The sequence below is a fragment of the Homo sapiens genome, chromosome 10, assembly GCF_000001405.40.
Source record: "Homo sapiens chromosome 10, GRCh38.p14 Primary Assembly".
Classification (NCBI taxonomy): domain Eukaryota; kingdom Metazoa; phylum Chordata; class Mammalia; order Primates; family Hominidae; genus Homo; species Homo sapiens.
Window position 1 is genome coordinate 76,305,196 of NC_000010.11, and position 15,287 is coordinate 76,320,482.

At 41.4% G+C, this 15,287-nt stretch overlaps 1 protein-coding gene and 1 long non-coding RNA gene across 4 annotated transcripts in view; one reads left to right on the top strand and one right to left on the bottom strand.

The window, feature by feature from the left end:
* LRMDA (leucine rich melanocyte differentiation associated) overlaps positions 1–15,287 on the top strand; it is a 1,128,545-nt gene that overhangs the window by 873,572 nt on the left and 239,686 nt on the right. The window lies entirely within an intron of this gene.
* On the bottom strand, positions 1,351–13,742 carry LOC112268057 (uncharacterized). The gene is made up of 3 exons (XR_002957050.2): positions 13,420–13,742; positions 10,810–10,879; positions 1,351–1,434 (listed from the first exon to the last, which is right to left on the bottom strand). It is a non-coding gene; the product is annotated as an uncharacterized LOC112268057 (long non-coding RNA).

The window sequence follows — 15,287 nt, forward strand, 5'->3', positions numbered from 1 at the left end:
TTACCTTTCAAAACCTAGGAATCCTGGATATGGAATAAGAGAAAAGAGGGCTTGTAGCATGTGTGGGCCCTTTCTTGGGCCCTTTCTATCTTATAATTGGTACAAAAGACAGTAGATGGTAGAACGGAGTCAGGAAAAATGTTGGAAAATGTTTTAATGGATGAAAACTCATTTGGAAAGTAACCTCAAAACATCTTTTTTCTTTTTCTTTTCTCCCTCCCTTCCTCTTTCTTTCTTTCATGGTCAGGACATTGGACTGTCCTGAGCAAAACATATACCTAGAATGGGATCTCCCACCCAGGGTAGGTTCATGCATACTTTGTCAGTGACTGAGTCCCTCTAGACCACAATGTGTTTGAGAGTTGAAGACTAAGATGGGCACAGGGTAGTGTTTCTTTAGAAAATAAACTTAAATTTTGCATTTCCTTTGGCTTCAGGGAGAATAAGGCTGCTAGAATGGTTAGAAATATTGCACAGGACATCAGACTTACTGATTATGATACTTGATTAGTCATTTTTCTTGTAGTAATCATATATTTGGGTCTGGAATCTCTCAAGGAAATAGCTTCACACATATGTATACGTTTAGATGAATGAAACTTTTGATGTTAACAGTTATTGATAGTATAAAGCAAATAAAAAAGGCCTCTTTCAAGAACGGCTCTGTGAATAATTTACAGAAAATTTTGAAAAAAGAAAATAAAGGAGAAAAGATTTTTGGGGGTTATTTCTCAAATGACTTTCCATCTATTAAACTATTTTCCACCATTTCCCTTGGCTCCAATCTACTATATTAACTATATTTTATAATAAACACATTAGTATTGTGAAAATTAATATTTAATAATGTAGAGTCCTTATCTAGAAAAGTTAAGTTCTTATCTAGAAAGGTACACAGGCTGAGGATTAGTATTAACTTTACAAAGAAAGATTGGGTTTGGAACTCAGAGTTTTTTTATATCCTTATCCTCTCCTCTGCAATCAACACATACACACATACTTTTGCATACTGCAGCCCTTTTGGAATTCCAAATGTTAGCATCCAAGCTTCATGGTTCTTCTTCAGATTTTAGCTATCCTGATATAGACACTGAGAGCATGTGGGCTCTAGCCCAGAAGAGTTTTAGCAGCCTAGCAGAGCATTTGTACATATCCCCCTTTGGTTGCTATAGTGGGTGCTGTTGAATTGCTAAGCAGAGAATCCTGCCTACTTTCTTTGGGTCTCTTGGGGGAAATGAAACTCAAGTGTAGCAGCTAGTCCTAAGTCTGTAGGTCTTCAGTTCCACATCCTAAGTCACACATGACACGGGGCATGGATCTTCAGGGGCTTACCTAAGCTGTCCAGGACACATTGTCCTCATCCTCAACACAATGAACCTGGAGGCTTGGATATATTCAAGGCAAACATCCTTGGCATCTCTTTTAGAAATAGGCCTGAAAGATAAAGAGGGCCGAGTGATAGAGTAATGGGGAAATGCTTTTGGAAAATGAGAGATGCACATTAGAATTAATTTTCCCATACCTTTGAGGTTTGCATATGTCAAAATTAAAACTTTTTAGACTGTTGTTCCCAGAGGACTTCCTCGTGCTACTCTTTTGTACTGGTCACATATTCTCTTGTGGTATTATCTGTTTAATGTGTGGACAAAATGTGTATGATGTCTCATTCCCAGAATTGATACCAGTAGTTGCTTGACACATGCTAATTAGTAATTAAATATACTGTATTACTCCTCACTTAAACAGAACATACCACACTGAGTTTAACTTTATCCTGTTGACATATATATGTGTGGAGGAGTGGAGGAAGCCTGGGGTGTCATCATTTCAGAGGTCTGTTGCAGCATCTTGTGGTTCAGCTCTTAGTCTAGCTTTTTGTGGTTGTTTCTTTTTCCATGTCATACTGTGACCCCAGCAGCTACCCTTGCCCACCCCTCATGTTGCTCTATTTAGATGCCTGTGGCTGTTTTTAATCTTCTGTGGGATACCAAAGCTTAGAAGAATAAAATTGTATGATAAACCTGCCTGATGTCAACTAAGATCCTGAAAGGTATAAACTTTATGATATCTGCAAGACCTCGTGGGGAGGGTTTTCTGGAGGTGGAGGCCTTTTGTTGATGTTGATGTCAGGATTGAGCCACTGCATAATGAGTTCAGTTTGGCCTAAAGATAATGATGAGATGTTTTGAATGTCTGGGATGCAGTGAGGGGCTCCTGAAGACTTACACAGGAGGTCGTCTGCTTTCGAAGGGGAATTTGCCCTTTTGGCCTCTTTGGTGTCCACTACACTGTATTCTGGGATAGACCTAACTCTGTGGAACCACCATGTGACCACCCTTAATCAATAGTGGTCTGATGGGGCCAGCTGCTCTCTCAGCACTAGGAGTGGCACAGGAGCCAGGCTCAATCAGGTAGAGGGTTCTTTCTCATGGGTGAGGAGATTCTTTCCAGGATAGGCACATAACCCAAAGCAGGCCACGGATTCCCAGATTTTGTTGGAACTTACAGGAAAGAGAAACTCTTTCTTTTGTCTTTGAAGATGGTGAGGTACAGATGTGGGGGGCTCCTGGGAGGCCACCACGTGGAGAAACCAAGAAACAAAGCTGAGATAGAAATTTCTGATGAGAAGTTTGAACACCTGGATCTAACCGTATATGAAACCATATACCTTGAGCTCATTAAAGCCCCCTGCTCCTCTTTTTAAACTTAAAGCACTTTGAGGTGGATTTCATGACTTACCATCAAAAGGATAATCTTATTTTCCTGAACTGTTCAACAAGGGAGATTCTACAACTTACCCTGGAAATGTAGCAAGTGGTCCCCATAGAGTCATTTTGGTCAAGAATTCTTAATTGTGTGTGACTTAAATTTCATTTTCTGACAGTCTCTCTGTAATGTAAATAACAAACCAACCCTACTTGCCCTCTCCCCAAATCAAAAAATCCTCAAACCCAGGAACAAAATTTTGATTAGTCTACTCCTTCCAAAGACACCTTCATCTACTTGAACATCAATTTTCAATGGTCCCTTCAACCTTCTCTTTAAATACTGTCTTTATTATGCAACTTTGAAATGATCTACCTGTAGATATGTATGGCAAGTGTCAACACTAGTGAGCCATGAGAATTTGTCATAGCAGCGATCTCACAAGCATATCTTGAAGGTTTTCCTGTGGTTTCATCCTGGCATCTGGTCCTGAAAGACGAAGATGGATAGGGAGCCACATGGTGGCTGTTCACTGGCCCCAGGAAAGGCCGTGCTTGTTTCCCCTCCCAAGACTACTTCCATGGACCGAGACAGGTAACTGCAGTTACCCAGTGACTGGAGGAGATGGAGAAGATTCCAGTAGAACCAGCCAATCTAAACCCAGGTCCTTCTCTGTGAAGTCACCTTTGCTACACATCAGAGACCATGGGGCTGCTGCTTTCTCACCAATCTCTCTCCTGCTCTCACCTCTCTCCTCCCAGCCTGGGGATGGAGAAGCCATAGCAAGCACCCATATGGCTCACATTTTCTTCTCCTCAAAACCTCTCCCCATAGTTCTGTCTGAATCTGAAAGTGACGGCTCCAATTAAGACACAGGAAGAAAAGAAATATAATTTCTAAGTCACTTGGCCTGGTGACATATATGTTGGGAGTTAGGAAAGTCAGTGTGCGGCTTCTCTACCATCCCAGGCGCTGCAGTCAAACAAATCAATTCAGCCTTCAGAGGGGCATCCATTGCCTTGTGATTATGTTTGTGTAAAGTCTTGGGGTCTTTGATCAAAGAATGGCATTTCAGGCCAGTCCCTAATCCTCACTGCCTTAAGATGTTTAAATGGGTTAAAAAAAAAAAAGTTGATAACAGCTGGGATTTAAATTTGCCTTTGCCCAGCTTTTGTTTTGAAAGGACTTCTATTATCCGTGGCTTCCCTTTTCGAGGCAAAGATGGATCATTGGGTAAACCAAAAAGGGAAAGAGGATATGGGAGGAAATGGGCGGGGACTCTGAATTAATCTTCTGAGGAAGAATGTTTGATCAGCGGGGAGGAGGGGATGAAAACCTCTGATGCTGACAGCAGGCACCTTTCTGATGAGGGTGTGATTGGCACCTTTGAAGCTTCAGTCAGGAGCCAGTGTCCAGTGGGTCAGAGCTTCCTCTGTCTGTGGGTGGTGGAGGTAATAATGAGGCAACTGGAAGGATTAATTGCGGACAAGCAGCAGGATTACGAGGAGGGCTTCTCAGCTCCAAAAGGAACAGTTCGAGGAAAGCCTCTGATCTGTCAGCCTTAGAGGAAATTAGTGGGAGCAGACTCGAGCAGGCTTAAAAAAAGGCATTTAGGATATTAAAGCGAAATGTGAAGAGGATATTAAAATAGGGCAAAAGGGCAAGGAGCGCTGATCTTGAAAGGCGGGTGTCTCCCTCTTATTACTAGGAATTTCCAAGTTTTGCCCAGATTTCACAGACACCTTATTTTTACAGTCCAGCAGAGAGATTTTACTTGCATTGCAACAAGTTAGGGGAGGGTCAGACTGGATTTGAGGTGGCACCCAAGGTCCTGTACAAAACTTGTTTGCTGTCCACCCTCTGGCAGTTTCAGAAGCTCCTGAAACTAAGGCTCCTGGTATAATTTTACAACAAGCCAGCGCATTACTGACATCCTATCTGCATTAGCTATCTGTTGTATGTTTTACTTCTTACCCTTCTGGTTCAAGTCTGGATGCTGCCAATAAATCCTGTGTTACCATTAAAGAGGCCATTCATCACGCTTCCTAATGCGATTAATCAAGATACACCACAGTACCCTTAAAATGAGATCATTTTGATAAATCATGTATGACATGAAAAGACTTTATTCCTTTTAAGTGCAATTTAGACTGTAATTTTTTTCCTCATTTATGATTCATGGGAGAAACATGGATAAAATTCCCTTGCACAGTTACACCTTATCTACAGCAATAACTCAAAACTGCTTTTAGATGAAAATTCAGGGTCTTATTCACCAAAGCTGAATGCCAGCTCATTATTTTCTGGCGTTCAGTAGTCCAAAAATAATGTCCGCACATTAAGCGGCATTCTCAAAAAAGTTGGAATTGGCCAGGCTCCAGGCACATCAATTACACTCCATCATCCTTAATAAGGAAGAAATATCAGATGTCCTCTTGGAGGTTTTTTGAATCAGTAATGCTCAGCCTTTACCTTCCCAATTTAGAATGATTGGGAAACAAAAATGGTAGTAACAAAAAAAGTATGGGAATTTCAGGGCCTTTACATGACTCTTCTCCTGTTGCATAAGTCTCAAAAGAGGTATTTTTTCCCTCCCATGCGGTTCATGCTTCCTTTTCCATTCCCCTTTTCTCATTTCACAAAGGAAACTACCATTTTGTTAGGTCTGAGTTTTGTTTCTAAGCTGCTGTATCTGTGATGCAGGCTTTCCCCTCACAGCTGTCACAATAATTTGGGAAACGATATTCATAACCTCCAATAGAAAAATAATTTGAAAATGTGCCTTCTGGTGAGATCCATCAAGTTTAAGGCCATATTTTTGGTTAAAAGGGAGACACTGATGCTATTCATTAAACTGAAAAATGGCTTGTTTTCCACTAATATTGAAATAAACTCTGGATGAATGTTAAGTCATGCTGGCATGCACTCTTATTGAAAGCAAAAGGAAAACACAGATATATTTAATTTGGACATGTAAAGTCAACAGAGTTTTAGGTCTTTCATGAGAAAGGGAATCAGGAAGATTGGCTGAAACAAATGTGAACAATTAGAAGTTCATTTGCCTCTTGCAAAGAGTGAGAGCATTTAAAGAGGGATTCAGTGTCTGAGAACTATAGACTCACTTGCATTTTTTTTTCAACCCCTGGTACCTATGAATAAAGAAATAAAGACTTGATCAACATGTAATTTATTTCCCTGCTGTTCTTAGAGATTCATTTGGGAAGCAGAACAAAAGCCAGTATTTGACTCTGTTTTTAAGTAACCCAAGAATGCACACGTATCCTATTCATGCCCACTTAACATAAATGCAGCAAAACTCAAGTTTATTTGGGTTATCACATTTATGCTAATGCTCTGTACTTTAATCGGATAGAAACTGACATAAAACAAAAGTTCCTTGCATATTATTCACACATTTAAATGAAATTTCCTGTGCTTTTAATTTTTTCTAATATGAAGAGTCAATTAAGAATCTAAGGCCATTAAGGCTGCACTTGCCTTGTTTAGGTTTCCATTTCACATTTATGACTTTCTATTTTTGTGAAAAAAGATCTGTAAATTTGAAAAATATGCACGTATCTCATTAAAAAAGTTTCCCAGCTCTAGCAACACTCAGCAAATCTCCAAAGAATGCAAGTTTAAAACATAAATATTTTAAGGCCCCATAAAATTGGCAGTAAATATTTTTCCCCCTTTAATACCATGTTCATTTCATTCCAATTTACTACCACGATTATATTTTCCAAAGCGGCTTTTAATACAATACACAATTATTTCATATGGGGTTGGGTAGGTCGCCTCATTAAGCCTGCAAAGATCAGGCCTCTTGTGATCCCCACAAATATACTTGCATTTACTCCTAATTAAAATGGCCCTCTTAAATTGTCTCAAGTTCATTAATATAAATAAGAAGCTAAGCAAAATAGCCACAGTTGAACAGTTAGCAGGGCAAGATGACCAGGTCCCCAAACCTCACACAGAGCAGACTGTGGTATGTATGCAGTGGTGCCCTGCCACCTGTTGGCTCTGCTTACACATAACAGGGTATTGATGTCCCTCATGGTGGTGCAGTAACCCTCTCTGACCCCTATCCCTAGTTCATCATCCCCAAGAGAAAAGAAGAGGCCTTTGAGAATCCCAGGCCTCCTGATTTCCCCCATCATTCATTTCCTTGGCTACATGTTTCTCCTGCTAATGCTAAAAATTTATGGCTGAGCACATTAAGGGCAGTGCGAGTCCTTCCCTACTTCTGGATTATATCAGAGTTTCCTGTCATAAGGAAATCCAAGATGTGTCCTCAGCTGATTGCATGTGACAGTGTCTGCTTATATCTCAGGAATCTGAGGCATGATGGATAAACTGTCAGTTTTGAAGGATGATATTTTCTCCATATTTCCATTATGAACTGGGCTGTCATCTCCTAATAAATTTCTTGCATTGGTATCAATTTATTTTTACAAGCAGAGGGTCTGATGTATTTGGGAAAGGCACTGACAGCAGATCTGGCCTAGCCTGACAGAGCTGGCTTCAACTCATTTTGGAAAAGTACTTTGGTTCCAAGGACAGAACTTGACCCGTAGCCCTCAAGATTAAAAAAAACCTCCGTGAGAGGAAAAGAGACACATGAGGCAAGTTCCTTCTTTTAAGCCAAAATAAATCAAGCCCTTAGGACTACCATGACATAATATCATTTTTAAGACAGTCCTACAAACCCAGTTGAGATATGCCACGTGTAGCCTTCTCGTCTGAGTTAGATGAGACCATCTAAATGTTGTTAGAGCATCACAATAATGCAGTGAATTGATGGATGAATTCGGATTATAATGAAGCTAGGGATCTCACAATTTTTGCTCCCAGAAGGGATCTCAGTAGTGCTCTTCTGCTTGACAAGTGAGAAGCAAAATTAATTCATATAATGCCTATTTAATTATGAAATATGGGCATGTCTCTGTCATGGCTACTGTGAAGGGCAGAAAAAGCTATACAACATGAGCTTTACCTCTCAAGAAACTTAAAGTCCAGTTGAAGAGATAAGATATTAAACAAAATTAGAGTGAAGTAAGAATAAATCATAGCTAACATCCATGAGCAGTGGCTAAGATGGTTGTTTCTTACCCTTATTTAACATTTACCTTTATTGGGAAGGGAGGCAGCATAACATTGTAATTGCCAAGACAGCAGCAACTGGAGGCAAACTGCCTGGATTTGTGTCCCAGCTCTGCCAAGGAGTAGTTACCCAAGAACTTAAGTGAGAGCTTTGTCAGGGGACTTAATTTCTCTGGTCCTCGGCTTCCTCATCTGTAAAACAGAACTAGGAGTTGTGACTCCTCGTGAAACTTTGTGAAGATTGAATAAATCAATACATGGAAAGTGTTTAACGCAGTTCTCGACACAAAGTAAGTACTAATTAAAAATGCTAATAAACGTTAGCATTTTTAAACTATCATTATCATGATTGTGACTATTATTACCATTATCACTGTTAGTCAAAATGTGGCTTAAAGAGTTTAAGTCAATTGCCCAAGATGGAGCCTGGCTCTAAATCTTGATCAATAAGGCATCAGAGCACAGAAAACAGAGAGTTAAACAATATACAAATTGTGAATTAGTCAAGAACAGAATCCTTGAAGCTTAGTTATTTTTCTTACTGTTCTTTCCATTCCTAGACTATAAAATAGCCCTTTCTCCATTGCCTGAAACATACTTTAGAAGCTAGTTGAAAAGTGTTATATGTAGTGGTGTGTAGGTAAATGCTTAACAGCCAAGTCTCTGGGAAAAAAAGTGTGTGTGTATACACATGCATATATAATATATTGCATTTTTTAGTTATATAAATGATGTGTAGAACACAATTAAAAGTAAATAACAATTGAATATATAATACTGTTTCTAAAAAATTCCATACAATCACTTAATTGTCACAGATACTTTCAATGATTTTGGCCAAACTCTTGTATCTCGTATCTGTGGTTGCAACTGATGAACAACTGTAGTTCCCACTTGATATTCCTTTATCTTAATGAGTATGTCAGAACTTTACTCATTTGTTAATGACATAAGAAACTACTTTGCTGAACTGGATAATAGTTTTTGAATATTGGAAGAATATTTTTTCAATTTTTTTGTGCTATTCACAATGCCTTGCAATACCCAACAAAGCAACTTCTCAAAGAATTAAGAAAAGATTATTAAATGAGAAGGAATATACTAATACCACAGGTAATTTTTATAAAGGCAGAACATCCTATCTATAAATAAGCAATTATATTTAGCCAAAGAGGTATGGAGCACAAGTTAATATTTTGCTACCATTAGGCTACGACACAACATCCTTTTTTTGTTGTTGTTTTTAAGAAATGGAATTTTGCCATGTTGCTCATGGTTGGTCTCCAACTCCTGGGCTCAAGTGATCTGCCTACCTTGGCCTCCCAAAGTACTAGGATTACAGGTGTGAGCCATCGTGCCCAGTCACACAACATTCTTTTAGGTTCTATCTGCAACATTAACATTTTCTCCATCACTTTAAGTTTAGCAAATAAGCACACCAATGAATCAAGCTCTCACTTGCAGCATTTGCCAGTTTCTGCTGCAAATACTCCCACAGTGGCCAATGTCAAACTACAAAGTGCCATCACTGAAGAGTTGGAAAGTGACTGCACATCATTATATAGTATTTTTATCATACAAATTCAGTAGACTCAATTTCAAGAGCATAAATAACAGTAAAATTTTGTAAAATAATTAAGAAGTGAGGAGTCTTGTTAAATAAGGTAATTTATTCAAGTTTAAGTGTATATAATTTTAAATAATACCTGTGTTTAACAACTGACCAAAGTTGCTGAAACCTTAATAATTACTTCTTGTAAGCCAGTACAGGTTAACACTTACACACCACTGGTTATTTGAACCCAAAAGGCCAAAGAGATCTGAAACACTAATTTGTCTACATCGCACAGCTAATTCTTTCATGTATTATTAAATAAGTTGATAGTTTTATTTACTTAGCACGCCACAAAACGTGTTGCATATTACCATGAGTTGATTCATATCTCACTACCAATATATTACCTACCTTTGTATGTGCACTAAATAAGCCTAGGAGGGTTTTCTTTGCCAGGCACCTTTGAACATCAAGTTCATTGTACAGTGCTTAGGATTCAGGCTATGGAATCGAGCTGTGTTATTTCTCAATTCCGGTCTCCACATACTAGCTGGGTTTTCTTGGACTAGTACTATAACCTCTCTCTAAATCTCAACTGCCTTACCTATAAAGTGGTAATGTTAATGGTACTTGTGATGGCAGCGGCGGCCTGTCTGGAGCAGCCGCTTCGAAGATTAGCTTCAGTGGGGCAGGAAGGGCTGGTGGGAGCCAGGAACAGACAAGAGCCCCACCCCCTAACCAGTTGAAGGGGCGGGAGCCCGCACTCCTTGGTGCAGCTGCAGCTTCCCAGCCGCACTCTGGACCCTGGCATCCCTGTGCTCTCAGGGGCCTGGGAAGCCCCTGCCCCAGCGGGCTTGGAAGTGCCTGCTCCTGCTCCCGGGCCTCTCCCTGCTCCCGGTGCCCACTCCAGTGCAGAGCAAAGTTGTGGCCAAGCCCGAGGGCTGTCGTGACTCAGCTGCGTTTGCGTGCACTCAGGGCAGCACTCACACGCTAGCGCCCCCTGCTGCCTTGGCCCCCTCCAGACTTTGGGCGTCAGTGAGCGCAGGAAGCAGCAGCCCAGGGGGTGCTGAGGGCAGCTCCCTGCGGGCCTGTAGACACCCCTCAACGTGAACAGCCTGGGCAACGTGGAAGGCAGACAGGTCCCTGGGCGGAAGGGGGTGGGTGCCCAGTGAAACCCCACCTTCAAGCCAGGGATGGCTTGAAGCCTGGGGGCCGGGCTGCCAGTGCCGGGTGGAGTCCCCCTCCTGGAGTGAGAATTTATGATGCTTTTTCCGGCTGGCCCATGGCAGCCCATGGACCAATCAGCACTCACTTCCTCCCTTTGAGCCCATAGACACCCTCCCCACTCCAATGACCTGCCTGCAGAAAGGAGCTACATACACACTGTGGGTCTTCTGAGAGCTATTCTGTTGCTCAGTGAAGCTCCTCCCTGCCTTGCTCACCTTCCAGTTGTCCACGTACCTCATTCTTCCTGGATGCAGGACAGGAACTCAAGATCCGCCAATGGCCAGACTAAAAGAGATTTAACACAAACAGGGCTGAAACACGCCTCTCCGCCTAACACGTTGCAGGTAATGAGAAGGAGAAGAGCTGTGGCCCTTCAGGGAGCCCAGACCTAGGGGCTCTCCAAGTCAGGGCTGTGACGCCCTCTTTAGGGCTCTGTGGTTCCTGGCGTCTCCCAGCTTCCAGGCACCACAGCATTCCCTGGTGCCCATGGTGGAAGCTACTTGCAGGACGCCTGGTCCAGATGCAGCCTCTCTTGGAGCCAGCGCCTATACTGGCACTTGGAGCTGCCTGCCCCACCGCAGCCAGCACACCTGGCCGTGCGCTGTGGCCGAACCCCGTGCTCACTCACACACCCCTTGCCACTCCATGCCTGGCTCACCCTTGACAGATGTGGGATCTGGGCCGGTAGTGCCAGCTGAGCGCAGCCTGCTGGGCCAAGTGTGTGGAATGAGCCCAGTGAGGCTAAGCAAAACTCAGGCAAAGGCGCCACGGGCCACAGACATTTCTGACTAGAAAACTGACACCCTAAGGATCCTGTGACACTTGCATTATAAGGCTATTGAGAGGGTTAAATGAAACAATGTTTATAAAATGCCTGCATATAATTAATGCCAGAAATGTGATGTACACACACCCACATTACTTGGAGGTTATATTACATTACATTCTGATTATGTTCTATGTTTGAATATATGACACAAACTAAATCTTCAGCAAGAATTAATTAGCAGCAAACTATTAATTTGTGCTCCATCATACTTCTTTGGATAAAGATAATTATTTGTTTGTAGATAGGATATTCTGCCCTTATTAAAACTACCCATGCTATTAGTAAATTCCTTCTCATTTGATAATCTTGTCTCAATGCTTTGAGAAGTTGTCCTGTTAGGTGCTGCAAGGCATTCACTGTCAAATTAGGACTGGCCCCTACCATCTTGCAAAAGAGACAGGTGCCCAGTGGACAGTGAAGCAGGGGAGAATAGAGTAATGGTCAGGAGAAGGGCATCATGAAAACCTGAGGGCTCCAATGCAGAGAGAGTGTGGGGCTACGGAAACAGTTTGGGCTTTAGGAGTCAGGCTGATTTGGTTTCTAATCACACTCTGGACTTTAGAACTGGATAGCCTTGTACATGTTACTGATCTTTCCTAAGTGTCAGTTTTTTTCATTTTTCAAATGAGAGGAATATAGGACATATCTCATACATTGGATAACCATTAGCGTTTACCATATATTCAAGAAATATTAAATCCTGTCACACACTTTGCCTCCTTTCTTTACCATCTCCTTCTTTTTCCTCAACTCGTATTTTTCCTCCCTTTTTTCATCTCTCCTCAACCTCTGATAGGACAGATTGAAAAATATTTGATGGACTAGGCATTATTTCGTATCAGCCATTGTATATGAGTAGTGTTTTAAATTCTAAATATTGTAAATTATAAGAAGTAATTATATGTTAAATAAAGTTTACAACTCCAAACATCCTTAATCACATTGCTAGCAAAAATTTATTGATTTAGTTTTTGAGATGGAGTCTCTCTCTGTCACCCAGGCTGGAGTGCAGTGGCACATTCTCAGCTCACTGCAACCTCTGCCTCCCGGGTTCAGGCAATTCTCCTGTCTTAGCCTACCAAGTAACTGGAACTACAGGTGCCCGCCACCACACCCAGCTAATTTTTGTACTTTTAGTAGAGACAAGGTTTCACCATATTGGTCAGGTGGATCTCAGACTCCTGACCTCAGGTGATCCACCTGCCTCAGCCTCCCAAAGTGCTGGGATTACGGATGTGAGCTACTGTGCCTGGCCCAAAAATCTTTCTATCTTTACTTATTAACTACTACTTATTCCTAATTTTATGTAGTTAAAAACCACAACCTATGTATTATTTTAATGTTTACCATGTTGACTTAATGCTAGGTAATTAATATCTTTGCATATTTCTCTCTCCTTTGTACTTACAGTTGTATTAGGTTACCAAAAGAAATTATGATCACTTCTATAATGTCCAATATTTAGATGGTTTTATTTTTGTCTTCTGTTATATAAGTGTCTGCTAAAAATATTTTGGAACCACTGCTCTAGATGATTTGTAAGATCTTTAACAACTCTTACATTCTGTGATTGAATTAGTTATGTAATAGCCCATAAAATGCCCAAGCCACAGCCCTTCCTTCCTTTTTTCCTTTCGTAGTTCTCCTCCTCCCTCCCTCCTTTTCTTTTTCCTTCCCTGCCTTTCATAAATATTTGTGAACTGCTACTCTGGGCCAGATGCCACTGTGGGCACTGGCAGAACTGGGCCCCCTGTAGATCAGATAGAAACAAATGGGAAGCTCTGGGCCATTGCCTTCAAAAGGCTTTCTTATTCCAGAGAGGTTTTTGACATAATCCTCCCCTCCCCACCAGCCTCTGCTGTGACCAGCTTCTTACTTGAATTACCCTTCAGCTCCCTCGCTCAGCTTCATGCTCAGCATTTGCCCAGACTCTGACCTCTTCTCCATTGGGATCTTTTTCTTGGTCTCTTGGTTCCAGACTCACCCTCATCCCTACCTTGCCTTTTGTTTTCCTCCCAATTTCTTGGCTTCTGGCTCTAGACAGGATATGGCTGTTCCTGCTTTCAAACCTGTCTATTATTCCCAACTTAATCTGTCTGTCAGTGACACCTTCTCTCTTGCTTTACTGAAAGGCATGGCACCTTAATCTGTGAGAGGGGTGGGAAGCTTCAGCCTTCTACCTGGTTCTTTAGTTTCTCTAACTTAATCCTTCAGAAGATGGCAAGTCTTTACTTTTGGATTCTGGCAATGTGGCCCACACTTTCGTGTTGAATTACAGTCATGGTATGTAGTTTTTTTTTTGTTTGTTTGAGACAGAGTCTGGCTCTGTCGCCCAGGCTGGAGTGGAGTGGCACGATCTCGGCTCACTGCAAGCTCCGCCTCCTGGGCTCACGCCATTCTCCTGCCTTAGCCTCCAGAATAGCTGGGACTACAGGCACCCGCCACCATGCCTGGAGAAGTTTTTGTATTTTTAGTGGAGACAGGGTTTCACCATGTTAACCAGGATGGTCTCGATCTCCTGACCTCGTGATCCACCCGTCTCGGCCTCCCAAAGTGCTGGGATTACAGGCGTGAGCCACTGCGCCCAGCCCATGGTATGTAGTTTTATCTTTGACTTTAAAATGTTTTACCCATCCTATTATCATGAATTGACTTCTTCCTGTATTTTTTGGCAGTATGTTGAGCACAAGGGTTAATTGTATAATTAATTTCAGAAAGTTAATATAGTTAATCTCCAAAGCTCTCTGTTAGTATGAGTGAGAAATGAGTAAGGGCGTAACTACTGTTATAGGTGTTTAGATGTCATAATCAAAGTCAGGGACAACATTCTGTAATGATCCAGAGTATGGGAGTGTGAGGGACACACTATGAGTTGGTGGCTCTTCATAACCACTATTAATCATAGTATGTTTTTTTTTATGACCCAGCAATGCAACCAATGTTCTCATTTTATTTTTCTTGGTATTCTTAGCACAGGGCCTGGCATATAGTAGGTGGTTATTAAATACTTGATAACTAAATGAGTGATGCTTTTTCTTATGAGAGAAAATAAATGTTTTTAGAAGAGTCAGCTTTATACCATGGTTTCAGGGGATGAATTGTGATGAAAAGTGAAGATTGCTTTTGCTTGAAAGAGGCTGACTATTTCCCAGACCCAGGATCACTTTCTGTGGTGTATGATTTAAGGGTGAGCGAGCATGCCAAAGCGCTCCACTTGAGCTGAGTGATGGGGAATGAGTTGTAGAGCTGTGGTCTTAGATGGTATTTTGTGAAAAACAGTGGGAGATTTATGGCTATTAAACAACTTTGTAGCTGCCCCCTTCTTGTTTCGAAGTCTGCCAAATCTCTCCTCCTGTGGTCTGTATCAGGTTCTTTCAGTGCATCCAGGACATTCAGAGATATCCACCGGACTGTAGTTTTTCATTGAATGCACCTATTGGAAAGGGGCTTGAATTTTATGCATTTATCAGTTTTGGTAATCACCGAGTGAAATTCTCGCTTTGCACGTCTGTTGTAGAATACACTGTATGTGCATTGAATCTTTTCCAAGCGGGTTGCCAAAGTTCTACCTTCCTTCTTTCCATTATGGATATTGCAGAGTGCAGTATATTAGTGGCTACTGCCTTTATTGATGTGAGTTTTAAAAATTATTAGTAACTCTTTGATCGTGAGCAGGAGAAGAATCAAGTAACCTTCAGAATGCTTTGATGTATCTTCAGCAGAAGGATTTATAAGGCCAGAATGAGTGTTTCAAGCCTTGCGGGGGAAGGGGATACATATTTACCATCATCTGCTTTTTTCTATTCTAGAGCTCACTCTCAGTAGCTCTAGAAGAAACAGAAATGGGATATTTCATCACAAAAA